This window comes from Homo sapiens, chromosome 1 (assembly GCF_000001405.40).
Source record: "Homo sapiens chromosome 1, GRCh38.p14 Primary Assembly".
In the NCBI taxonomy this organism is placed as follows: Eukaryota; Metazoa; Chordata; class Mammalia; order Primates; family Hominidae; genus Homo; species Homo sapiens.
The window spans coordinates 75714913-75740621 of record NC_000001.11 but is presented as its reverse complement, the minus strand read 5'-3'; the positions used below and the strand labels follow the sequence as shown (position 1 = coordinate 75740621).

The 25709-nt window shown below is 39.7% G+C and overlaps 2 protein-coding genes across 7 annotated transcripts in view, besides 5 other annotated features; one reads left to right on the top strand and one right to left on the bottom strand.

Moving 5' to 3' along the window:
- ACADM (acyl-CoA dehydrogenase medium chain) overlaps positions 1-15913 on the bottom strand; it is a 38971-nt gene extending 23058 nt beyond the window's left edge. The window contains exons 1-8 of one of the 5 annotated variants that reach the window (NM_001286043.2): positions 15805-15913; positions 12134-12221; positions 7881-7978; positions 7700-7769; positions 7473-7571; positions 6994-7094; positions 5751-5831; positions 512-642 (exon numbers count right to left, since the gene is read on the bottom strand). In NM_001286043.2, the coding sequence (NP_001272972.1) occupies positions 512-642; positions 5751-5831; positions 6994-7094; positions 7473-7571; positions 7700-7769; positions 7881-7978; positions 12134-12221; positions 15805-15834 (698 nt within the window). In that variant the 5' untranslated portion in view covers positions 15835-15913. Of the gene's footprint in view, positions 1-511; positions 643-5750; positions 5832-6993; positions 7095-7472; positions 7572-7699; positions 7770-7880; positions 7979-12133; positions 12234-15804 lie in introns of all 5 variants that reach the window. The other 4 variants (NM_001127328.3, NM_000016.6, NM_001286042.2 and 1 more) reach the window with 4 other exon arrangements.
- Positions 15698-15787: an enhancer, noted in NCBI's record as "active region_1204". NCBI's record gives its function as "activates an Ori minimal core promoter by ATAC-STARR-seq in GM12878 lymphoblastoid cells {active_cell/tissue: GM12878}" and the evidence as "EXISTENCE:reporter gene assay evidence [ECO:0000049][PMID:35858748]".
- Positions 15918-15967: a silencer, noted in NCBI's record as "silent region_997". NCBI's record gives its function as "represses an Ori minimal core promoter by ATAC-STARR-seq in GM12878 lymphoblastoid cells {active_cell/tissue: GM12878}" and the evidence as "EXISTENCE:reporter gene assay evidence [ECO:0000049][PMID:35858748]".
- Positions 16018-16067: a silencer, noted in NCBI's record as "silent region_996". NCBI's record gives its function as "represses an Ori minimal core promoter by ATAC-STARR-seq in GM12878 lymphoblastoid cells {active_cell/tissue: GM12878}" and the evidence as "EXISTENCE:reporter gene assay evidence [ECO:0000049][PMID:35858748]".
- Positions 16438-16527: an enhancer, noted in NCBI's record as "active region_1203". NCBI's record gives its function as "activates an Ori minimal core promoter by ATAC-STARR-seq in GM12878 lymphoblastoid cells {active_cell/tissue: GM12878}" and the evidence as "EXISTENCE:reporter gene assay evidence [ECO:0000049][PMID:35858748]".
- SLC44A5 (solute carrier family 44 member 5) overlaps positions 16607-25709 on the top strand; it is a 521887-nt gene continuing 512784 nt past the window's right edge. Inside the window, exons 1-2 of one of the 2 annotated variants that reach the window (XM_017000610.2) lie at positions 16607-16680; positions 20217-20273. The gene's annotated coding sequence lies outside the window, so the exon portion shown is untranslated. Of the gene's footprint in view, positions 16681-17283; positions 17603-20216; positions 20274-25709 lie in introns of those variants that run through there. The other variant, XM_017000609.2, reaches the window with a different exon arrangement.
- Positions 20260-20885: an enhancer, noted in NCBI's record as "OCT4-NANOG hESC enhancer chr1:76185422-76186047 (GRCh37/hg19 assembly coordinates)". NCBI's record gives its function as "activates a minimal SCP1, AML or CMV promoter by ChIP-STARR-seq in naive and primed H9 embryonic stem cells {active_cell/tissue: H9 hESC(naive and primed)}" and the evidence as "EXISTENCE:reporter gene assay evidence [ECO:0000049][PMID:30033119]".

Sequence of the window (25709 nt, the reverse complement as noted above, 5' to 3'; positions counted from 1 at the left end):
ATTATTTTTGATCCTTTGTTGAACTTCATATTTTTTGACCATATATTAGAAAATTTCAGATTTTATTAAAGTCAAATTCTGTCTTCTCTAATAGATAACCTGTTTTAAGACTGACTCTGTTTATTTCTGACATCTGGAGACAGGCACTATACCAAAGGTTCTCCTTTTTCCTTAGGGTTTTAGGGATTCCAAGGAGCGGCTGGTATAGGAGATGAGGAGTGGAGATAATAAGCCAAGTAGACAGAGTGCTAGCCTTCCTAATCAGATTCAAACAGAGCACGCATTTGTATTTTATTTTACACATTAAACTTCTGAGAGTTAATTTGAAAAAACAGTGCAGGGGCTTAAAATTAGTTTTTGAAAATCACTGAACTGTTTATAATCTCCTTTAGGCCTTCCAGTTCCACAAACATACCTTAACTGTAGTGGTTTAAAAATATACAGAAAGAAAGAGAGATTTGAAGATAAAACAATTAAGAAAAAATATACAAAGATGTTTTGAACAACATACCAATTAGCTTTTCCTCCGTTGGTTATCCACATCTTCTGACCATTAATAATATACTCATCTCCTTTCTTTTCTGCTTTGGTCTTTATACCAGCTACATCAGAGCCTGCTCCAGGTTCTGTTACACAATAAGCCTTGAATATATAAAAACAAGAGAAATGAAATTAAATGTTAGTGATTAAATTTTGACTGTTTGGAAACAGGATTGTTTTATTTTTTAAGCTGTATTTTAAATATTTTTAAATATCTAAAATTAAAATGTTCTTACAAAATCAAAGAAACCACTCAAATGTAAAAACTTTTCTGTTTTGTTTGTAAGAGACAGGGTCTCACTCTCTTGCCCAGGCTGGAATGCAGAGGCTCAATGCAGTCTTGGCTTCCTGGACTCAGGAAATCCTCCCGCCTCAGCCTCCCGTGTATAATAGCTGAGACTGCAAGCACACATCACCATGCCCAGCTAATTTTAAATTTTTTGTAGACATGGCATCTCACTGTGTTGCCTAGGCTGGTCTCAACCTCCTGGGCTCAGGCAATCCTCTGCCTCAGCCTCCCAAAGTGCTGGGACTACAGGTATGAGCCACAGTGCCTGGCCTAAAAACACTTAATATATAATTCAAATTAGGCATAGGTATATCAACAAATCATATATTTAATAAAAAGTGAAAATGTTAGATAGCTTTAAACAAGTTCATTAAATTCAATTTCACATGTATTCATTCATGCAAACATGTATTGAATATCTACTATGTACCACGATGTAAATTAGGATATGGGGAAACCAGAGGTAAAAGACATTCAGTCCTAGAGATTTTCACAATGTAACAGTGAAGATAAATAACTATACTGCAACTCTATGTGTGAAAGTCAGACAAGGGGCTTGAGAAACTAGTTTCCCAGGGCAGAGGATGTTTAAATTAAGTCTCAAAAAGGAAAATGGCTTCTTTGCGAGGAGGGAAAAAGAGGAAGAATATGCATTCCAGGTACAAGTAATGGCATATGCTATGACACTAAGATAAGAAACAGAGTTACCCAGTGTTTCTAATGCTGAAAGTACCAGAGTTCCACAGTATGTAAATTCTGTGCATGTAAGGGAATGGTAAGACATGAGTCTGGAAAGAAAGGAAGGAAATGGTCGACGAGAATCTTTTATATCACATTACAAATTTAAAATTTTATCTGGTAGAAACAGGGGAGCCTCTTAGAGCTCTTAAACAGAGGAGTGACAAGACACAAGCAGTAATGGATAAAAGGGGGTGGTAGAAGGCAAGTGTTAGTGCAAGTTAATTCAAGAGTGGCCGGTACTGTGGATACTAAAGAAACAAGTTACTTGCCCTTAAGGTACTTACAGTCCAAAGAAGAAAGAAACTGGGCCGAGCATGGTGGCCCCCCACCTGTAATCCTAGCATTTTGTGAGGCTGAGATGGGAGGATCGCTTGAGACCAGGAGTTCAAGACCAGCCTGGTCAACATGCCGAGAACCCATGTCAATTTATTTTTTAAAAATATACAACAAAAAAGAAAGAAACTATATACATTTTAATTCAAAGTAGTAAGCATATATAGGGGCACTAGAAATGATTACTTAGGGCCGGGCGTGGTGGCTGAGGCTTCAGGTTTGTAATCCCAGCACTTTGGGAGGCCGAGGCAGGTGGGTCACCTGAGGTTAGGAGTTCGAGACCAGCCTGGCCAACATGGTGAAACCCTGTCTCTACTAAAAATACAAAAACTTAGCCAGGCTTGGTGGCGGGCGCCTGTAATCCCAGCTACTTGGGAGGCTGAGGAAGAATTGCTTGAACCTGGGAGGTGGAGGTTGCAGTGAGCCGAGATGGTGCCACTGCACTCCAGCCTAGGCAACAGAGCGAGACTCCATTTCAGAAAAAAAAAATAATAACAATACTTGGCTGGGCATGGTGGCTCACACCTGTAATTCCAGCACATTGGGAGGCCAAGGTGGGCAGATCATGAGGTCAGGAGATAGAGACCATCCTGGCTAACACAGTGAAATCTTGTCTCTACTAAACATACAAAAAATTAGGCAGGCGTGGTGGCACGCACCTGTAGTCCCAGCTGCTTGGGAGGCTGAGGCAGGAGAATCGCTTGAACCTGGGAGGCAGAGGTTGCAGTGGGCCAAGATCACACCACTGCACTCCGACCTGGGCAACAGAGCGAGACTCCGTCTCAAAAAATAAATAAATAAATAAATATAACTATACTCAAACATCTGAAGGGCAATATAGCCAAAGAAAAGTACAGTGAAATCACTCTAACATTTATTGAACACCTATTACAGTATGAACTGGTAAAATTATAAAAAAAAAAATGACAGGTTCTGTGCTTAAGCATTATGTAATCCAAAATATTTTTCTAATGATAACAGATGCTCGCAAATGATGCTGTTTCAGAAGGTGTTGATTCCCAGGCACCTGAGGTATAAAAACATGTCAGCCAGATGGTCTTTTGACAGGGATTCTGTAGAGGGGATTCAGGTGTCACTCAAGTTAACTGAACTAGATTACTCTGCTACCTGGAGATTTGATGTATTCAGCATCATGACAAATTAAGGAGTTGTCCATAAAAGATGCCCCTTTTAAGTACCAAAATTTTGTTTTAACCACCTTTAAGGTATTTTTTTCCCTGAAATATGCTATTAGACATCTGTCTGTTTCATAATACAGTGAAGTTTTTAGAGCCTGTGAAGTAAATGAGCCTGTTTTTTTCTATACAAAATGGCTTGTCACTACTGGTTCCTCAGAGTTGTTTTTGTCTTCTTTTCTTCTTTTTGGTTTCATATATATATATATATATATATATATATATATATATATATATATATATTTGTGTGTGTGTGTGGTGGCAGTCTCTCAACGTTGTCCAGGCTGGTCTTGAACTCCTGGCCTCAAGCGATCCTCCTGCCTTGGCTTCCCAAAGTGTTAAGATTACAGGCATGAGCCACCATGCCTGGCCTGTTCTTGGCTTCTTATTTGATCATTTTTATTTATTTTTTTTCTGTATTATTTTTTACCATAACATTATTTTCCAAAGTAAAAACCCAAGGAGTTTAAACATTCAACAGTACAGAAAAGTGAAACAATTTATAGCATATCCATTAGATAGCAAATTATGCAGTATTGTTACAGCATGTAAAAAGAAGGAAGGCATAAGAAAATGTTCATGTTGTTAAATAAAGATGTACATAAAACTACATGTATATAATGGGGGCTAACTGTTAAAAACACAATTACATATTTAAAAATGTGGTAGGCACTACAATAAGGAAGTAATACTAATTAACTCCATATCTGAGGGATTACAGATATTTTTGTTCTACTTAAAACATTTCTAAATTTTCTATACTCAGTATTTTATAATTAGAAAAGTTATAAAATTTTAATTTTTTAAAAGTTTGCCTTTGGCATCCACGAATTTTGGAATTTAACCAACTGTGGAGCAAAACCCACAGATACAAAGGGCTAACTGTACATTTTGTATAACAGACTTGGCAACCAAAAATTTTGATATGGAGGGCAACCTGTCCTAAACTATTCCCTCATGGATATGGAGAGCTGACTGTATATGCTACAGGAGAACAATCTAGACGTTTCACACAGTTCTTATAGACAATAGTGAGAATGTTTAGCTAACCTCTCAATTGTTAAAAAAAATTGCAAATTTCCTAGCAAATATGTACAAATTCCTTTATTAAACAGTTTGCTTGAAATTTTAGGTATCTGAAATAAAAAACATTTATTTTCAAATATTATTTTCTGTTCTTTAAGATGAATTCTCATCATTAGCTCAAAACTAATACATCTACTGTATTTCAGTATAACAACCACACCTTAGATTGAAATATGTTTGAGTAAACAAGAAGTAAAAATCCTTAGGTAAACAACAGTTTCAGAATAGAGCGTGTGTGTGTGTGTGTGTGTGTGTGTGTGTGTATGTCTGTGTGTGTATTTATCTTGTTAAAAAAATCTAATTTAAAAATTTGTTGAGTTGCTTTCAGAGGTTTAAATAAACTCTACAACTATTCTTCCCAAGTCATTCAGTCATTCAACAAATAAGTTGCTATTTCTTCAGTTACAGGTTCACATTAATTTTTATTTATTTATTCATTTATTTATTTATTTAGAGACAGGGTCTCACTGTGTTACCCAGGCTGGTCTTGAACTCCCGGGCTCAAGCAGTTCTCCTGCCTTAGCCTCTCAAAGTGCTGACATTACAGGTGTGAGCCACTATGCCCAGCCCACATTAATTGCTTTTTTTTTTTTTTGAGACAGAGTCTCACTCTGTTGCCCAGGCTGGAGTGCAGTGCCGCCATCTTTACTCAGCAACCTCTGCCTCCCAGGTTCAAGAGATTCTCATGCCTCAGCCTCCCAAGTAGCTGGCAAGCGCCACCACATCCAGCTAATTTTTGTATTTTTAGTAGAGATGGGGTTTCTCCATTTTGGCTAGGCTGGTCTCGAACTCCTAACCTCAGGTGATCCACCTGCCTCAGACTCTCAAAGTGCTGGGATTACAGGCGTGAGCCACCACGACCAGCCAACATTAATTTTTTACTAATTCAAAACACTACTAGTTCAAACACACATTGCCCTACATTCAATCTGAACTTCCTGACACAATGACTCAGTTCTTAAAGTGTAGAATGCTCCACTAAATAGAGCTCTCTCTCCTGAAGTAAGAGGATTATTATGACACTTTTTGACATCCCAAAAACATCACAAGTAGATCTCTCTTCTCCTGGAAATAAGCAACAAAATTATGATGACACCTTTTTTTTTTTTTTTTTTTTGAGACAGGGTCTCACTCACTCTGTCGCCCAGGTAGCAGTGCAGTGGTGTGATCTCTGCTCACTGCATCTTCCACTTTTCGGGTTCAAGCGATTCTTATGCCTCAGCCTCCTGAGCAGCTGGGATTATAGGCAGGCGCCATCACGCCTGGTTAATTTTTGTATTTTCAGTAGAGATGGGGTTTCACCACGTTAGCCAGGCTGTGAACTCCTAACCTCAAGTAATCTGCCCGCCTCCGCCTCCCAAAGTGCTGGGATTACAGGTGCGAGCCATTGCCCTCGGCCTATTATGATACTTTCTTGGCATCCTTGACACATCATTGTAATAATATGTTGCTAAGTTTTGTTTCAATGCTAAATATCCCAATATATACATATAGACTGAAAAGGAGAAATAGCACCTTTGTTCCCTTCTTAAGTGTGAAATAAAGCGGCAGTTACACATACTCACACACATCAATGGCTCCTCAGTCATTCTCCCCAAATACTTCTTCTTTTGTTGATCATTTCCAGCAATAATAATAGGCATTTGCTACCGAAGAAAATTGACATTAAAAAATCAAGTCATTTTTATTGGATATGTAAATTCAGAGATGCTATAATTCAAAATGAAAAAATAACTATTTTTCACCTAACAGGTAAGTCCAAAGAACTGGCCTATACCTTGCCTCTAAGTTAGAATGAGGAAATAAATCTGCTAATCTAAGTATTTTCATAAAATTAGGTTATATGTAGGACCTGTGGCATTATAATCTGTGAAAATCTACTATAGTGAAATGCACTAATAAAAAATTATGTTTAGAATATGTGACACAGTATGTATGATCAGGCCTAAGAATTGCTTGTTAGGCCGGGCGCAGTGGCTCACGCCTGTAATCCCAGCACTTTGGGAGGCCGAGGTGGGCGGATTACGAGGTCAAGAGATAGAGACCATCCTGGCCAACAGGGTGACACCCCGTCTCTACTAAAAATACAAAAAAAAAAAAAAAAAATTAGCCGGGCATGGTGGCGGGCGCCTGTAGTCCCAGTTACTTGGGAGGCTGAGACAGGAGAATGGCGTGAACCTGGGAGGCGGAGCTTGCAGTGAGCTGAGATCGCGCCACTGCACTCCAGCCTGGGCAACAGAGTGAGACTCCGTCTCAAAAAAAAAAAAAAAAAAAAATACAAAAATTAGCTGGGCGTGGTGGTGCGCACTTGTAATCCCAGCTACTCAGGAGGCTGAGGCAGGAGAATTGCTTGAACCCAGGAGGTGCAGGTTGCAGTGAGCCAAGATCGCGCTACTACACTCCAGCCTGGGCGACAGAGTGAGAAAAAAAAGAATTGCTTGCTAAATTTCAGTACTGCCATAGTGGCAGCAAACCATCCCAATCCTGCTCCTGAATTCTGGATTTAGCCCTTGGCTTTACCTAAGAATTGCCACTGAAGCTGCAGCCAAAGTATACAGTTTCCTCCAAAGGACAGTCAGAACTCCGAGTACTAGAGACAAGGCCAGAGTTATCAAGCCTCGAAATCAGAACTCCAGGCTTCACTGCTGAATCTTGTGTTCCTCTTTAAAGAAAACTGTGTGTACCCACTAACCTTACCTAGTAGTAACTGACTTTCCTTTTTTTTTCTTCTAAAAATCCAACTTCTTCAGGAGTAACTATCTCATTAACAAGAGCTGAGTTAGGTAGTTAATTTTCTAAGTCACTTACCCCCAAAGAATTTCCTTCAATAGCAGTCTGAACCCCTGTACATCCATAAGCCAATTCTTCACTAATTAAACAAGCATCAAAAGTTCCAAGTCCAAGACCTCCTACAGTATCAAAATGTTTCAACACATTGTAATATGTAGTACATCACAATAGAAATAAAGGTAAACTATTTTAATTGCTTTCAATATGACCAAAATTTGTTTTAAAAGGAAATTTGCAATATAATATCTACATGTGTTCTGGCTGGCACAATAAGAAATTATACTTTCTTAAAGCTCTAAAATTTTCAAAAAATTATTTTACTATTTGTAATTTGAACCTGTATTCCTGTTCTAACTTGATTTTGTTAAAACTCAATTCAACTCTAAAACTGGGTCTGAGGAAAAGAATCATGGTTCACAAAAAAGACTCAATAAAATGTAATATAGAAGATAGGAATAAAACACAACAAATTGACCAACTCTAGAAACGGAAGTTACCAAGGTTTAGGTGCAAGTTAAGGTTGGAACCAGTTAGAAGAAGGAAAAACGCATCTAGGTATAGAGTGCAAGCTTCCAAAAGTGGGCAAACACTGTAGTCTGAGCAGGAAGACAAAGGTAGAAAGTCATTTAATGGCAAGAAATATTTGAAAAAAATGACTGAGTAGAGTTCCACAATTTTTCTTACTCATATGCATTCCAGTATTAAAAATATAAAGAAAGCTTACCACAGTTCTCTGGAATGTGTGTGTTCATTAAACCAAGTTCCCAGGCTCTTCTAATTAGGGGGACTGGATACTAGAAGAAAAAGAACTGAGTTAAAATATATTTTGAAATCCAGATAGTTTGATTACATAATCTTGTAAAAAATGTAAAAGATTTTTCCCTCTTTAAAATGTATATACCTACTTCACCAGTTTTATCATATTCTGCAGCCACTGGGATGATTTCCTCTCTGGCAAATTTACGAGCAGTAGCTTGAAATTCTTTCTGCTGTTCGGTGAACTCTAAGGGAAAATTATTTAGAAAAGTTAAAACTGGATAACAAGGAAAAATGTCCTATGAAGTCAGTATGTAGAAATGTGTATTTATTGTGGGGACTTAAATCCTTGATTATCAGAAACTCAGACTACAGTGCATTTTTTGACTAATCAAGAGTTCACTACACAATATAAATAAACCTATGTCAATACAAATGCTAAAGGAAATAGGTAAGATTTTTAACTTTTACAAATGAGTAATAGATATTAACCTGTAGAGCTCAAGTGAGTTTTTCTTTTCCAATTGGTGATATAAAAAACGTTTAACTTATTATTAGTTCCTAAGCCAATTTATCAAATGTTTGCTAACACTGAAGTGAAACTAATATACAAGACATCTCCCTGACGACAAGAATCAATCTAACGAAATAGATGAAACACACTCAGTGACATAAAGCAATAAAACTTATTTCAAAGTGTCATATAAGAATATCAATATCATAATTTTGCTTTTTTTTTTTGAGACAGTCTCATTTTGTCACTCAGGCTGGAGTGCAGTGGTGCAATTACGACTCACTGTAGCCTCGACCTCCTGGCCTTAAATGATCTTCCCACCACAGCTTCTCAACTAGCTGGGATCACAGGCACATGCCACCATATCTGGCTAATTTTTGTAATTTTTGTAGATACAGGGTTTTGCCATGTTGCCCAAATGGGTCTAGAACTCCTGGGCTCAAATGATTCTCCCATCTTGGCCTCCCAAAGTGCTGGGAGCCACCTCACCCTATCTATTTCATTTTTTTTGTTTTCACAGAGACAGGGTCTCACTATGATGCCAGGCTGGTCTTGAACTCGTGGCCTCAAGCAATCCTCCTGCCGTGGTCTCCTAAAGTGCTGGGATTACAAGCATGAGACACCATGCCTAGGCTTACAGCTCCTTTAAACTCAGACAAGCTTATAAATTAGCACAAAGCAACTGGTAAAAGTGGTAGAAAGGTTTTTCAAAAGATAATAACATAAAATCCTGCTGCAATGCTAATAAATGGTGTCCAACAATTTGTTTACATAAAATAAGGGATTGTTTTAAAATTAATGAAATTAGTATGGTGGCTTGATTGAGGAGAGGAGTCAATTGCTAACTGCATCTTTTCAAATCCATGGTATCCTTGTGTTTTAATGTGGTTGCATCTAACGTCAAAGATTAGGTAAAATTTAAGAGATAATAGGGTATTTCAAGCAAGAAAAATGAGAGCAAATGCACAGAGGAATGTTTAAGACTACAGTAATCATTTGTATGGGGATGTGAGAAACAATACATAAAAGCTGAATTCTGGTGCTGAATTGAAGAGCATAAGATCAAATCTCTTTTTTTTTTTTTTTTTTTTTTTTTTTGAGACGGAGTCTCGCTCTGTCGCCCAGACTGGAGTGCAGTGGCGCAATCTAGGCTCACTGCAAGCTCCGCCTCCCGGGTTCACGCCATTCTCCTGTCTCAGCCTCCTGAGCAGCTGGGACTACAGGTGCCTGCCACCGCGCCCGGCTAATTTTTTTTTTTGTATTTTTAGTAGAGACGGGGTTTCACCAGGATCTCGATCTTCTGACCTCGTGATCCGCCCACCTCGGCCTCCCAAAGTGCTGGGATTACAGGCCCGAGCCACTGCGCCCAGCCAAATCTCTCTTTTTATTGATAAACTAATGCAGAGTAAGGAAATTCTAGTATCAGTCTCACAATGAATTAGCAGAAGTATACTTAAGAATTTCAGTCCAGTGTTCTCTCTATCACAGCTTTACTTCTAAGATTGGTGCCAGTTGATAGCAATCTTGCAGGTAGATAGAGGGTAGAGAAAGTCTGGGCACGGTAGCTCATGCCTATAATTCTAGAATTTTGGGAGGCTGAGGCAGGTGAACCATTTGAGGCCAGGAGTTTGGGGCCAGCCTGAGCAATATAGCAAGATCCTGTCTCAACAAAACATTTAAAAATTTAAAAAATCAGCTAGGTGTGGTTGACATGGACCTATTGTCCTAACTGCTCAGGAAGCTGAGGCGAGAGAATCCATGGAGCCCCAGAGGTCAAGGTTGCATCCAGCTTGGGTGACAGAGTGAAACCCTGTCTCTTAAAAAAAAAAAAAAGGAAAAATGACAAGTATGTATTATGTATTATTTATTGAGAAACTACTTTGATCCAGTCACTAAGTGCTAGGGGCTTTAAATACAGCATATAATTTAATCTTCATAGAAATTCTGTGTTATAGATATTATTTCCACTTTACAGATAAAGAACCAGATGCAACTGGTTCAAGGAATAGACCCGTATTGAACTTCACAATCTCCCTCCCAAACAATTATATCTAACTCATCCTCTGTCACTCAGTGAACCACCATAGATTTCTCCTGCAAGTCTCTTACTACTGAGAGAGAAATTTAAAGTGACAAGCAATCATACCAAATTAATGCTAATTATCTCAGTATGATCCACTACCCTGGCTGGGCATGCTGGCTAATGCCCATAATCCCACTTTGGGAGGACAAGACGGGTGGATCACTTGAGGCCAGGAGTTCGAGACCAGCGTTGCCAACATGGCGAAACCTCATATCTACTAATAATATAAAAATTAGCCAGGTATGGTGGCCCACACCTGTAATCTCAGCTACTTGGGTGGCTGAGGCAGGAGAATCGCTTGAACCCAGGAGGCAGAGGTTGCAATGAGCCCAGATGGAGCTACTGCAATCCAGCCTGAGCAACAGAGCAAGACTCAGTCTCAAAAAAAAAAAAAAAAAAAAAAAAAAATCCACCATCCCAAATGGCTATCCTCACAGTGCTTGAAAACTTTCATTTAGTCTTTGGCTACAGAAAGAGAAAAGAAAAAAAATTTTCATTTAGGTTGGGCACAGTGGTTCATGCCTGTAATCCCAGCACTTTGGGAGGCAGAGGTGGGTGGATCACTTGTCTTCAGCTGTTCGAGACCAGCCTGGCCAACGTGGCAAAACCCCATCCCTACTAAAAATATAGAAATTAGCCAGGCATGATGACCCACACCTGTAGTCCCAGCTACTCAGGAGGCTGGGGCAGGAGAATCGCTTGATCCTGGGAGGTAGAGGTTGCAGTGAGCCACTTGCACACCAGCCTGGGTGACAGAGTGAGACTCTGTCTCAAAAAAAAGAAAAGAGAAAATTTTCATCCAGTCTTTGGCTAGAAGTCACAGGAAAAAAAAAAAAAACACAGAAACTTTTCATTTGGTCTGGGTGCAGTAGCTCATGCCTATAATCCCAGCACTTTGGGAGGCTGAAATAAGAGGACTGCTTGAGCCTAGGAGTTCAAGATCGGCCTGGGCAACATAATGAGACAATGAAACCTCATCTTAAAAAAAAAAAAAAAAAGAAAAAAGAAAGAAAGAAAAAGAAAAGAAAAATTTCATTAAATTCTGGTAAGAAAAAAAAAAACCTTTATAAAGAAAAGGGAAAAATCTTTAAAAAACACAACAAATAATAAAAAAAATAACTCTGGAGAGCTTTGAGATTGTCATTTGTACCTAGCTGTGAGTTATCGCAGCTGCCTTTAACTATTTTCTGAGACCAAATAAATTGAGTAAATGGTTTTTAACTAGAGAAAAAATAAAAATTTTGAAGAAGCACTTTAGAAGGCCAAGAATGCCAAAGATAGATATTATTTCAAATTTTTTGTGTGTAGTTTTCATTTTATAGAGGGCAGAGGAAAAAAAATCATGGCTCCCTGGTCCCAGGAGTGAGAACTTCATCTAATAGTACCAAAATTGCAATTTGGATATATTATAGCAAAAACAAGCTTTAGCTTATTACCAGGCACCTAGAATTGTAATCTAACAAGTGTTTTTAAAATGTATTTGTGGCATTCAGATATGTAAGTTGAAGACTATTCATATATATCAGTAAATCTCATTTATTTTGGGCTAAACACTCAGAAAAAAAGGAAGGAATTTAAGTGTATGTATGCTGCTAAAACAGATCTAATGTACAGTGTAGTATACTGAGGAAGAAAATGAGATCAGGAAGAATGGAGTGTGAGTTATTGTAAATTATCTGTGGACAGTGGACTGGTTCTACTCATTGAAAGACATTATTAAGTTTATTTACAAACATATTCCAAACAAAACATATAAAGCTTCATATGTATAAGTTTAAAGTCAAAAGATAGAACCGAACATATACCAAAACTAAATCCTAATCCTGGTTCACGTTGTCGATTGGCTTTTGTATGCTGTGATCTCCAATGAAAACGAGAAATACTTCTCAGGACCTGTAAAGAACACTTTTATTAAAATAAATTTGATAAGTTAAACATTAATCAGATAAGAGACTACTGATAATCATAAGTGAGTACAGCAACTGGTTTGACCATACTCATAGTTTTTAAAGTCATCACTATTTAAATGCCTTCAATCATAATTTAAATAAGCCAATTATCAGTTATATAAATTCCTATTACAGAGGAGATGTTTTTAAAAAGTAATGAAAATAAAGTCAGTGGTATTTATACTACTGAAGTGGAGGGTTTAGGACAAACAACAGTCAAGGGTAGTAGTAGATGTAGGACCACTATTCTGGGTATCTTACAAGCTCCTAGGACATTAATGGTTGGAGAGTTGGGGTGGGGAGAACGATAGGCTGGAAGTGAACATACTGTGTTCAAGAGTTGCCTAGTCCATCAACTTTGATACCCTGTCACTGTGAGCCTCCCATGCATGCCTCTGGAAACCTTCCCCTCAGAGGATCTCATTTTTTAGGATACCCCACTCTAACAAAACAAATTAGCATAAAACCATGTTCTGTATTTTCTGCTGTCTACAGGGATTCTTACAATGTTCTGAGCAAGGAGTCACCAAACCAGTGCAGCCACATCATGCTGTCTATTGCCGCTTTCACAGCAGATCTAAGTAGTTACCACAGAGACCATCTGGTTCACAAAGCCAAAAACATGTACTATCCGTTCCTTTACAAACACGTTTGCCATCCCTCTTCTAAACTACTAATACACTACTTGTCTTAGGATCTGAAATATAGTCATATTTCTTCAAAGGAACATATAAAGAAACAAACAATCAAATATACATATATTATTGTTTTGCAACCCATTTTTATATTCATGACAGTTTAATGGATACAAAAGTAAAAATTTGCATTTATTAAAGCTGCCAAACTGGGAACCACAATGGTGTTCTTGAGTAAAGGTTTCAGGACAGTCAAAATTACACAATTTTCACTGTAAAAGATTTTAATTGAACTATCCAGCAATTTTAACAAGCTTAGATACTAAGAGAAAAGAGCAGCTGAAGAATATACTAAAGTTTCTTTATTTAAATTCTTATGTTTTTCAAAATCCGTAAAAAGAAACTGTCTTTGTAGATGACAATTTCAACTTATAAAAGACGAATTCCTACATGTAAGGTGACAATATAATTAAGAGTGTCAAATATTTGTAATTGAAACAGTGCTTTCCAAATAACATACCTCATACTACAGTAATAAAAACATACAGAGTATGAAAACTCGCATTTTCTTTGCATCTTCATTAATTTTATTTTGAAAGTGAAACAGTGCCAGGTGGGGTGGCTCATGCGTGTAATCCCAGCACTTTGGGAGGCTGAGGTGGGCGGATCACGAGGTCAGGGGTTTGAGACCAGCCTGACCAACATGGTGAAACCCCATTTCTACTAAAAATACAAAAATTAGCCAGGTGTGGTGGCACGCACCTGTAGTCCCAGCTACTCGGGACGCTGAGGCAGGAGAATCGCTTGAACCCGGAAGGCGGAGGTTGCAGTGAGCCTAGACTGCACCATTGCATTCCAGCCTGGGTGACAGAGCAAGACTCCGTCTCAAAAAAAAAAAAAAAAAAAAAAGTGAAACAGTTTCTCTGGTGCTTATTGTCCAGCAGTCACAGACCAAATCTACTCTGATTTACAGTCGCGTTACACAGGTTAATTCACTGAATCCCAGGTCAAGTCTAGGATTAAGCCATTACTTTTATTCCACTTTCGCATGTGAAGAAACGAAGGCTCAGAAAGTCAACTAAATTAGGCAAAGTCACTCTACTATTAGTGCAACCAGGATTCTAACATTTACTATCAAGAGCGCATGCTATTAACCACCTTGCTATACTGATCTTTCTGTTAGTATCCTAATTGGTCACTAGGTTCCATAACAAAGGAAAACATTCCACAAAAATCAGAACAAAAAACCTGACTCTATTATAAATGCGTTTTTAAATACCATGCACAAAAGTCAGAACTCAAACCAGGTTAAATGGTCTACTGAGGGACTTTTTTTTTTTTTTGACAGAGTCTCCCTCTGTCACCCAGGCTAGAGTGCGGTGGAGAGATCTCCGCTCACTGCAGACTCAGCCTCCTGGGATTACAGGCATATGCTACCATGCCCAGCTAATTTTTCCTATTTTTAGTAAAGACAGGGTTTCCCTGCTTTGGCCAGGCTGGTCTCGAACTCCTGGCCTTAAGTGATCAACCCGCCGAGGCCTCCCAAGGTGCTAGGATCACAACCGTGAGCCGCCGCACCTGGCCAACCGAGGGAATTTAAATAGGGAAAAAGTCACTTCACATGTGACTGTTCAGGAAAATATGTTACATAGAACAAAGTGCAAAGGTTGCTATTACCAGAATACAATGCCCATCAACCTGTTAATTACATAACAAAGTTAGCCAGTTAATTAGAGAGGTGGTTTGCAAATAGAAAACAGAAACAGCACGGGATCTGGAGTTATAATTGCTGAATGTGAATCTAGGTTCCACAACCATATTTGTGGCCGTAGACAGGTTTACAAACTGCTTATAGCTTCCGTTCAAAACCAAAAAATGGGACTAATCTCACTGCGTATTTTCGGACGATTAAAGTACGATAATGTTTTGAAAGCCTAATGCTATATAACTATTGGTTTTATTACTTCGGGCTCTCTGTCTAGAACAATGAAATTCCAAATATCGAAACAGCACCACTAGAATTGAACACTTTTGTGCATTTCTTGGGAATATAAGAGTGTCAGTTTTATGGGTTAAAGAAGAGAAAAAGGGTGTAAGTTTTCTATATCAGGTTTTTTTTAGATCCTTCCTTGGAGGTTGAGAAATCTGCTTTTCTGGTGTAGGAGTTAAAAATAGCTGAAATCTCCCAATTTCTGCCTTCACTGCACATTAACTTGCATAACACCAGCAAAACATGGGCAGCAATTCTTTAGGATTATTCTAAAACCGCAGCTTTTTTGGTCCAAGACATAACTTTAACTTAATTTTAAGTGACATCTAAATGGCAGTGGTGTGAACATATCAAGAATATTTAAGATACCAAAATTCATCTAGTGACAAACTTATTTAGAATCTATTAAGATCCAATACTAGAATATACACACAAGTTCACATAAAATTCTGCAGGTTTTTTTTTTACTTTTTTTTTTCCCGTAAGCAACGTGGAAACGTTACAACGAAAAGCTTATTAAACATTAAGTATTTCAAGGAGTAGCTGCTCCATTTTTCTTTTTCCCGTGGTTCTGACACAGAGACGGGGTCACTTTGGAAAAAGGTGGGATTCCCGCGGTAAATATTTGGAGGGTTTACCAGAGAAAGAAAAACGATATTCTAAAGAGAGGATGCCGGCTATAACGGGGTCGCCTGACGGGAGGATACGGAAAATGAAACGCTAGGCTACGTTCCGTCCGGTGGTAGGAGGCGTGAAAGCAGGTTGGGGGCCCCTAGGCTGGCTCCTTCCTCAGCCCGACTTCCCACTCCTCCCGGCCGCACCTATTTTTGGCCCAGGGCCCCCTGCTCCGACACCACAATACCCATGTTCCAGCCCCACCGCACCGCTGGGCTCCCTCTCACCCTGCAGCATCGCCCGAACCCCGCTGCCATGTTGGCTCCCGTTCCGGCCACTCGGACAATAATACACGGGTCACGGCCTTGACATACTCCCCGAACGCGGGACTCCTCTGGTCCCGCCCACTGGAGCCCGTGGGCGGGATGGGGCGGGGCGGGAAGAGGCGGTTGGGCTGCGGAAGGACGGGGCGCTGCGCTAGGCGGGGTGGCAGCGGTCCCCGGCGCCGGGTAGCCAACGCATGCTCCGTGACCCTTGCGTGCGCCGTCGCTGCGACCTGGGGAGGGGTCGCATCCCCTCTCCGGGCAATCTCTGATAGTCCTGGTTTGGTTTTCTGCGTTTCCACCTCTGGCCCTCTCTGTGGGACGCCGAGGCTGACCGCAGCGCGGAAAGAGAGCCAGGGCGGGGGAGGGGGACGGCGGCGGGGCTGGGAGGGCCCGGTTGCGCTGAACGGTGGGGGGACTTGCGGCGCGGTGCAGGACGGGAACCTGGGTTAGAGGGCGTGGCTGGGGCCTGGAGGGAGAGCGGCCCCCGTGGTCAGCCTTCACCTTTACCCGGAGAGAACGGTCAAACCCAGATCGTGTCTGCTTGGCGGATTCAAAGTATTAGTACATTTTGCTCTCAAATGCCCTACCTAAAGCGAAAGCATACTTGTGTTTCCTTAAAATTTAAAAGAGAATTTAATTGTTTAGGTAAATTTGACCTTTCCGCGTATTCCCAAGGCTGTTTATGACTTGTCCGCTGATGTGGTGTCCTTGGATATGCGGGTGCAATCCGAGGCTGTCCAAAGCTCCTGGTTCAGCGAATGATGGAAGTGAATGTCTCCCTGAGGAATTCTACCTGGAGTCACTTTCTCTTCCAGTGAGACCCTGAGTTTTGAGATGGTAGCTTATACTAAATCTTATACTAACTTAACATTTTCTTTTGCCCAATAAAGGTCACCCATAAATTCATCTAATTTAGCTGTTAAAATTCTATATCCTGTTATTGTATTCCCCTACTTTGTCTTCTGGGAATTTATAGTGTGTTAGTCCTAGGTACAAGGCAGAATGTTAATTAAGCGCTATATTCAAAGTGAAAGTACCAGGAAAATTCGGAAAAGGGATAAAGAGCTGAGTTTGTCCTGGTATAGGCAAGAAAGCCTTCAAAGTGGTGGTGGTAAGTAAAACACAAAGCGGACTCTTAAAGATGATTAGGAATTGTCTATTCATGTCTCCTTTGTTCCAATTTCTTATTCTGAACATTTTAAACACAGAAAAGATGAACGAAAAGCACAAAATCACCCATATGCCTATTGTAACCCCTTCTTACTGTACACGTGGCTGGCAGAGAAGCGAAGATGGAGCCCTCATCTTAAACATGTCTAGTCGGTAGTTCCTGCCACCATTCACCCAAGCAAGCTACCCCCTTGTTTGTCTGTGCCTGCAGCTCGACTTCACAGGCTGCTCTTAGAAAAGGATTTGGGGCTGCTTTTCATTAAAAAGAAAAGCCTTACTGATGTTGGGAACGGGCGCTCAGTGTTGCAAAAATCAACACTGAGACAAAGGAGCTCTTAGCAAGGCTAGTTTACTTTCTGCAGAAAGGTTGCCGCTCGCTAGTAGTCTTGCCACGAGAGCACACACGCATAAAGGAGACAGGGTCATTTATAACCTGACACGTGCACCCTACTACCGTGTCCGGTTTCCATTGGCTGGAAGGGGACCTCTGTACTTGTCCTGATTGGCTAGCAACTTAGAACTTTCCAAAAGAGGCAAAGACAGAGGAGAACAAAGGAAGGAGGAAGCAACTTGTGGAATGCTGAGAAAGGTAAAAACACCTCCAGATAAGGAAGAAAACAGGCTATGGCCTAATGCTTCCTTGGACCAGTATAAGCATGCCAGGGCAAATATCTAGGCTAAAATGTGGCAGCTAAGAGCACAAAGTACATTGATTTCTTTATTACGGCCAACAGATATCAAAGAATGTTAGTGTGGCCAACTGCCACGGTTACTACTTGAGACCATCGTTACAGCAGTTACTACTGTTACTGCTTGAGACCATCATTGTGAGATCAAATGAAGGGACGAACGTAGAAATGATAACTTAAGACAAAAGGAACTGTTTTAAGGAAAGGGCCAGGGGAAGAAGAAGAGAGCTCCCTGCTTCTCGTGAGCAAAGGCAGCCACAGAGCTTCCACAGCCCTTCCTATTTTTTGGGTAACAGGAGCAGGGAGGAGGTGGTAACGATTGGTCAGCTGCTTAATTGATCACAGGTTCATATTGTTACTGACAGGCTTCAATTATGCCTAATCATAAGAAACATTTGTGCCTAGATCGTAACTACCCTCAGCAGTCCTCCTGGGTGGCATACGCAGTTTGTCAGTTCGCCAACGTTCTGCATTTATGAGAAACAGTTTGCTGCTTACTCATATAGCCTCCAGTGATATACTGAGTTGATCACGAACCTCATTGTTTCGGCCTCCAATATGTTAGCACAGTTCTTTGAATAAATTTTGCTTTTAAGAGAAGTTACTGTTTATTCCTAATTAGACGGAAAGGAAAGTCCATTTGAAGAGGAACCTCTACTTCACTTTTTACACTGAGGACTCCCATACTCGTACTATCGGCCTGAGTAATTTCTTCTCAATATCATTATCACCTAGATTCAAATATTTTTCCATATTTATTTATATATTTATATGTGTACCTATGTGTGTGTGTTTTGGTTGTTGGTTTTATTTTTCTCAGATCTGTAGGTTGTAGATAAGACACTTCAGTTCAGAATACTTTAGCTATATGTCTCCTACAAGGACATTTTCCTATATAACCATTTCCTATAAAACCTTTATCACATCAATGAAAATTAACAATTATTCGCTACTATTATTTAAGGTCCAGAGAATATTTACATTTCTCCAGTTGTCCAGTTGTCTCCAGAATACCTTTTGTAAATAGTTTGTTTTTGAACCAGGATCCTATGAATGATTGCCCATTGAAGTTGGGCTTTAACTTTCTTTGGCTTCTTTTAATCTAAAGCTTTTAATCTAATTCATTTTTCCCAATAATAACTGTCTTTTTAAACAAATTTAAGATACCAAGCAGTTGTCATGAAGAATGCCCTAATGCTGGATTGTCCGATTTTATTTATTTTGTACCTCTAGATTTTGTATTTCCTATCAGTTGCAAGTTACCAGAGGCTTGAGGAGTTCAGATTAAACATTGGATAAGGATACTTCAAAGGTCATACTGTGTAGTTAATATTGTATTACATTAGGAGGCATTTAATATCAGATTTGTCCCACTATTGGTGATGGTGTAAGCCAGCAGTGTCCAATCTTTTGGCTTCCCTGGGCCACACTGGAAGAAAAAGAATTGTCTTGGGCTATACATAAAATACACTAACACTAATGTTAACTGATAAGCTACAAACCAAAACAAAAACGCAAGAAAATTTCATAACGTTTTAAGAAAGCTTACAAATTTATGTTGGGCTGCATGCAAAGCTGTCCTGAGCTGCATGTGGCCTGTGGGTTGCATGTGGTCTGTGGGCAGCAGGTTGGACAAGCTTGCTGTAAACCAAAAACAAAATTCTAAATTCCCCCCAACTATCTGAATGGACTTTCTCGTAGGCTAGGGCACTCTAAAATTTAAATTTAACCTGAAAGACTACTTCAGGCCATGATGGGAAGTGGGGGTTGGACATGCCTCTTTATACCTCAGTGATGTTAACATCAACACAGACCTTAAGTCTGATAAGAAACATTTACAATCTCTTCTCTCTGAAGGAGAGAGATAACAGAATGCTTTTCTGTTCTCACCTGAAGGCTTCCTTTGCACAATAAGAACTTTGGTCTCCACAATCCTTTAATCTTAACCCAGACATTTCCTTTCTGTTGGTTCCAGGTCTTTAGATAAACTTAACCAAGTGTCAGCCAGAAAATGTTTAAATCTGCCTATAACCTGGAACCTCCCCCCGCCTACCCCCCCAGCTCCACCCCTGCTTCAAGTTGTCCTGTCTTTCTGAACTGAACCAATGTATTTCTTAAATGTATTTGATTGAAGTCTCATATTTCCCTAAAATATATAAAACCAACCTGCACCCCAACCACCCTGAGCACATGTTCTCAGGATCTCCCAAGGACTGTGTCGTGGGCCATGATCACTCATATTTGGCTCGGAATAAATCTCTTCAAATATTTTACAAAGTTTGACTCTTTGTTGACAATGCTATTTGATCATTTGATTATTGACAGACAGTTCTTTCTATGGTAAAGTTATAGTTTTCCCTTTGCAATTAGGAAGTAATTTATAGGGTAATATTTGGCATCATGCCAAACAATCTTTCATCTACATTTTTGCCAGTAGTAGGAATAGAACCATCTCTCAAGAAATACCTTTTTATTAATTAAGCACTGTTTCACAAAACTTCTCTACATTTTTAGGTGAAATAATTCGAACGTCTCCCTGGTGTTCCTTCTCCCTAACCCATCTATTTCAAGGTAAGCAGGACTATACAGACCTACGCTCCAAAGTCTAAGGAAGCTGAGAGGCTAAAGAAAGAGGCTGACACATTAACGTTTCTCAAAAAGAAACATTTAATGGAGACTTAAAAACAGAAGCCCTGTCTGCATCTCAGGCGGCAGTGAGACAAGATGGTGGATCCCAGTGCCATTACCCCTCAGACCCAGGGGTTGTATACCACAGGGAAAGGGTGACTCAGAAGGGACATGTAGGACAATTGAAATACAATAACATCAAAGTTGTCTTGATCTAAGGGCAGGATTTACAGTAAGTACATGCTTTTACACAAGAAACAATAGAGAGAGGGGAAATCTTAGAAGCCTTCCCAGAACAGGGGAAGTCCACATGGTGGATTAACATCCTAGGTGGCGTTGCTTTGTCCTCCACATTCCACTAATTCATGTGTAGAGTCTCACGCACCCTTCTTTTTTGCAATGGTCCCAGAGCCTTTGAAATCCCACTGGGCCATATTGGTTTCTCATTGCCAACATACTCCTTGGGATTTCAAACAAGGGAGATTGACAGGCTTCGTTGAATTTCTCTAGTCTTCAGAATACTATGACTTTAGTTTTCTCGGAAGTAAAACAACAAAAGATACATAGCATCAATAATTTGAATAGTAGAAATACAATCCACACAAGGATTACAATCAGAAGAGAATTTGTATGCCAGAACAAAAATGAAAGGAGCCTATTCGAGTAAGCAGCCAACTAAAAGCATCATGAAGAAAATTAAAACCAAGTTCCTTTTTAGAGACTTCTTGTAGCCAGGAAATAATTCAGGATTTAGTCCAAATTATAGGCAAATTATAAAAACTCAAAAGCAGTGGTCAGGGCTAGAATCTAAGATTTTTTTTTCTCCAGTTTTCTTATTTCTACCAAGGATAAATTATACTAGGACCAATTTATTTGCAAAATAAATTTGTCTCATTATATTGGCCTGGTTATTTGAATAAATTGTAGCAGGAATAGTGATCAGCCATATAGGCTCCTTTTAAGTTGGCTTTGCTAGAACTATCAGAATTTTTTATTCCAGTGTTTTAAAGCCTCAACGCCAGAAGCAAAGCCAAGGATTCACCATTAGACTGCATTTATAATACCTGTACAAATTTCTCTCTTCTTGAGGTCTCAAAATATCTTGAGATTTCTGATCCTGTTAGAAAGTGACATTCATTACTTACCACGGGTCAGGAAACTTCTTAGGGAACCAGTCTTTCCATGGGCTTTTTATTGGCTCTCTGCAGTCAACTTCAATTCCCCAAGCAGATTGATCATGTCTGAAAATAGACCATTCCAGTCAAAGCCTTGGTAAAATAATGTGTCTCCAATTGTGTCCTATTACAAAAGAAAACATTCATATTGAACATATGTACATAACTATATTGCCATAAAATAACACAAATAGTTTTCAAATTTGGGAGAACTCATATAGAGAGAAGGACAAATTTTGCTTACAAAAATACACTTAATCATTATAAGTTATAAAGAGCTCAAAACAAAAAAGTTTTCTTGACTCTTCTTCAATCAGAGTAATGCCTTCCAAACAGGATGTTGCCTGATGACCTTGGAACTGCCATCCACAAGCCAAGCAACTCTTAGGTTAGAGCTGTTTGTCAGGTACTATGGTATCCAGCAACTCCTCACCAGTTCCAGGATCAGTCCTAGGAGAGAAAGAGGCTCGCAGCTCATGAGTATATCCTCTTTGCACTCCTCAGGTAGCAAGATCCATTCCCATTTTATTATGTACTCTTCTGGGCACTGCTATCCCCGTTAGAGTGTTTCTCTGACATCACTCCAGACAGCATGTGTATTTTAGGTGTCAAGATCATTTTATGTCCTCCAGTCATAGGGATAGCTTCTGTTAATGTCCCATTCCAAGGCAGAAATGCCTCTCAAGTAGAAATTCTGTAGTCCACAGTCCCAGTAGTGGTTGTTGGGAGGTGCTCACAGGCCTTTGCTATGACCCCTAGTAAACACTCCACAAAGGGCTATCAAGTGGAGGTTTCATCCCTACCAGCACTCCATCTTCTACTCTACCCTCTGAGGGCTTGAGCAATTTACTGGCTCCCATTTAGCATGTCCAGTTAATATTGCTTAAATGGCAGATTTACCATTACTAGAAATGCCTTCTAGTTTGCAGTACTAAGTAGGAGAAACATGCTCTGGTCAGATACAATGTCCGTTTTCATGAAACATTTAAGTAAAGGTGTCACAACTTTATATAAAGTTTATTTACAAACTTTTTAACTTTCATAATCCTATCAATCTTTACATTTTTGTGTTCTAGCCCCAGAAACTTTTCTTCTCCACCCAAGATCATTTTGTAAAAAAGCCTCTGGTGAAAAACACTTTGTGTTCCCAGTAGGGAATTGAGCCAAGGAACTTTGTATATCTTCATTAACCACCTCAACATTACCTCAGGCAATTGTTGGTCAGCTTTCTCTTTTACGATTTCTCCAATCGGGCAAATACAGAAAATTGGCCCTTTAATGTTGAGGGACCAGCAGGGGCTCCCTTTGGTCCACCGAACTTTTGGCAGTGTTGTATTAAGACCTTTGTTTTAACCCCATCAATTTCCATTTTATTCATTCCATTTCTTAATAACCATTTGAAGATTCCCACCTTGCTGGGATGAGTCCCATGACTCTAATTTTTCTCTAAGTTTCACCCCCATCAATATACATATTTTTAAATTCACCTTATTTTTTTAAAAAAATTATTTTAGGTTCAGAGGTACGTGTGCAGGTTTATTATATAGGTAAACTGCATGTCACAGGTTTGGTGCACAGATTATTTTGTCACCCAGATAATAAGCGTAGTACCCAATAGGTAGTTTTTTGATCTCCCTCTTCCTACCCTCCACCCTCAAGTAGCCCCAGTGTCTGTTGTTTCCTTCTTTGTGTCCATGTGTACTCTCAATGTTCAGATCCTACTTATGAGTGAGAACTTCTGATATTTTTTCTTTTCTTTTCCTTTTTTTTTTTTTTGAGACAGGGTCTCACTCTCTCTCCCAGACTGGAGTGCAGTGGCCCAATCTCAGCTCACTGCAACCTCCGTCTCCGAGATTCAAGTGATTCTCATGCCTCAGCCTACGGAGTAGCTGGGATTACAGGCATGAGCCACAGCGCTGGGCCAATATTTCGTTTTCTGTTCCTGTGTAAATGCGCTTAGAATAATGACCTTGAGTGCCATCTGTGTTGCTGCAAATGACATGATCTTATTTCTTTTCATGGCTGTAGAGTATTCCATGGTATATATGTACCATATTTTATTTTTTTATTTTATTTTTTTTTGGAGATGGAGTCTTGCTCTGTTGCCCAGGCTGGAGTGCAGTGGCGCGATCTCGGCTCACTGCAACTTCTGCCTCCCGGGTTCAAACGATTCTCCTGCCTCAGCCTCCCAAGTAGCTGGGACTATAGGCACATGCCACGACGCCCAGCTAATTTTTTTTGTATTTTAGTAGAGATGGGGTTTCACCCTGTTGCCCAGGCTGGTCTTGAACTCCTGAGCTCAGGCAATCTGCCCACCTCAGCCTCCTAAAGTGCTAGGATTACAGGCATGAGCCAGCATGCCCGGCCACCATATTTTCTTTATCCAGTCTATAGTTGATGGGCATTTAGGTTGACTCCGTGTCTTTTCTGTTGTGAATAATGCTGCGATAAACATACATATGCGTGTGTCTTTATGGTAGAATGATGTATATTCCTTTGGGTGTATGCCCAGTAATGGGATTTCTGGTAATTCTGTATTGAGTTCTTTGAGAAATCGCCACATTGCTTTCCACAGTGGCTGAACTAATTTACATTGCCATCAGCAGTGTATAAGCATTCCCTTTTCTTTTTGTTTTTCCTTTTTTTGAGACAGAGTGTCACTCTGTCACTTGGGCTGGAGTGCAGCGGCGTGATCATGGCTCACTTCAGCCTCGACCTCCCCAGCCCAAACCATCTTCCTTCCTCAGCCTCCCAAGTGGCTGGGACTACAGGCACAGGCCACCGTGCCTGGCTAATTTTTTGTAGAAGTGGGATCTCTTTATGTTGCCCAGGCTGGTCTCTAACTCTGGGACTCAAGCAATCCTCCACCTCGGCCTCCCAAAGTAGTGGGATTACAGGTGTGAACCAATGTGCCAGGCCAGTGTTCCCTTTTCTCCACAACCTTGCCAGCATCTGTTATGTTTTGGCTTTTTAATGATAGAGATTCTGACTGGTGTGAGATGGTATCTCATTGTGGTTTTGATTTGCATTTCTCTATTGATTACTGATGATGAACATTTTTTCATATGCTTGTTGGCCACGTGTCTCTCTTCTTTTCAAAAGTATCTGTTCATGTCTTTTGCTTACTTTTTAACGGAATTGTTTGCTTTTTGCTTGTTAATTTATTTAAATTCCTTATAGATTCTAGATATTGACCTTCATTGCAAATATTTTATATTAGATCTTTGTTTGCAAATACTTTCTACCATTCTGTAGTTTGTCTGCTTACTTTGTTGATGGTTTATTTTGCTGTTCAGAAGCTCGTTACTTTAATTGGGTCCTATTTGTCAATTTTCATTTTTGTTGCAATTGTTTTTGTCGTCTTTGTCATGAAATCTTTGCCAGGGCTTGTGTCCAGAATGGTATTTCCTAGGTTATGTTCCAGAGTTTTTATAGTTTTAGCTTTTACATTTATGGCTTTACTCCACCTTAAGTTAATTTTTGTATATGATATAAAGAAGGCATCCAGTTTTAATTTTCTGCATATGGGTAGCCAGTTACCTCAACACCATTTATTGAATAGGGAGTCTTATCCGCATCGCTTGTTTTTGTTGACTTTGTTGAAGATCAGATGGTTGTAGGTGTGCAGCTTTACTTCTGGGCTCTCTATTCTATTCCATTGGTCTTTACGTCTGTTTTTGTACCAGTACTATGCCGTTTTGGTTACTGTAGCCTTGTAGTATAGTTTGAATTTGGGTAGCATGATGTCTCTAGCTTTGTTCTTTTTGCTTAGGGTTGCCCTGGCTATTTGGGCTCCTTTTTGGTTCACATACATTTTAAAATATTGTTTTTTTAAACTCTGTGAAGAATGCCATTGGTAGTTTGACAGGAATAGCATTGAATCTGTAAATTGCTTTGGGAAGTATAGTCATTCTAACAATATTGATTCTTCCTATCCATGAGCATGGAATGTTTTTCTATTTTTCTGTGTTGTGTGTGATTTCTTTGAGCAGTGTTTTGTAATTCTCGTAGAGATCTTCCACCTCCCTGGTTAGCTATATTTCTAGGTATTTTGTTCTTTTTGTGCCTGTTGTGAATTGGACTGCATTCTTGATTTGGCTGTCAGCTTGAACATTGTTGGTGTATAGAAATGCTGCTGATTTTTGCTGGGTGCAGTGGCTCACACCTGTAATCCCAGCACTTTGGGATGCTGAGGCGAGTGGAT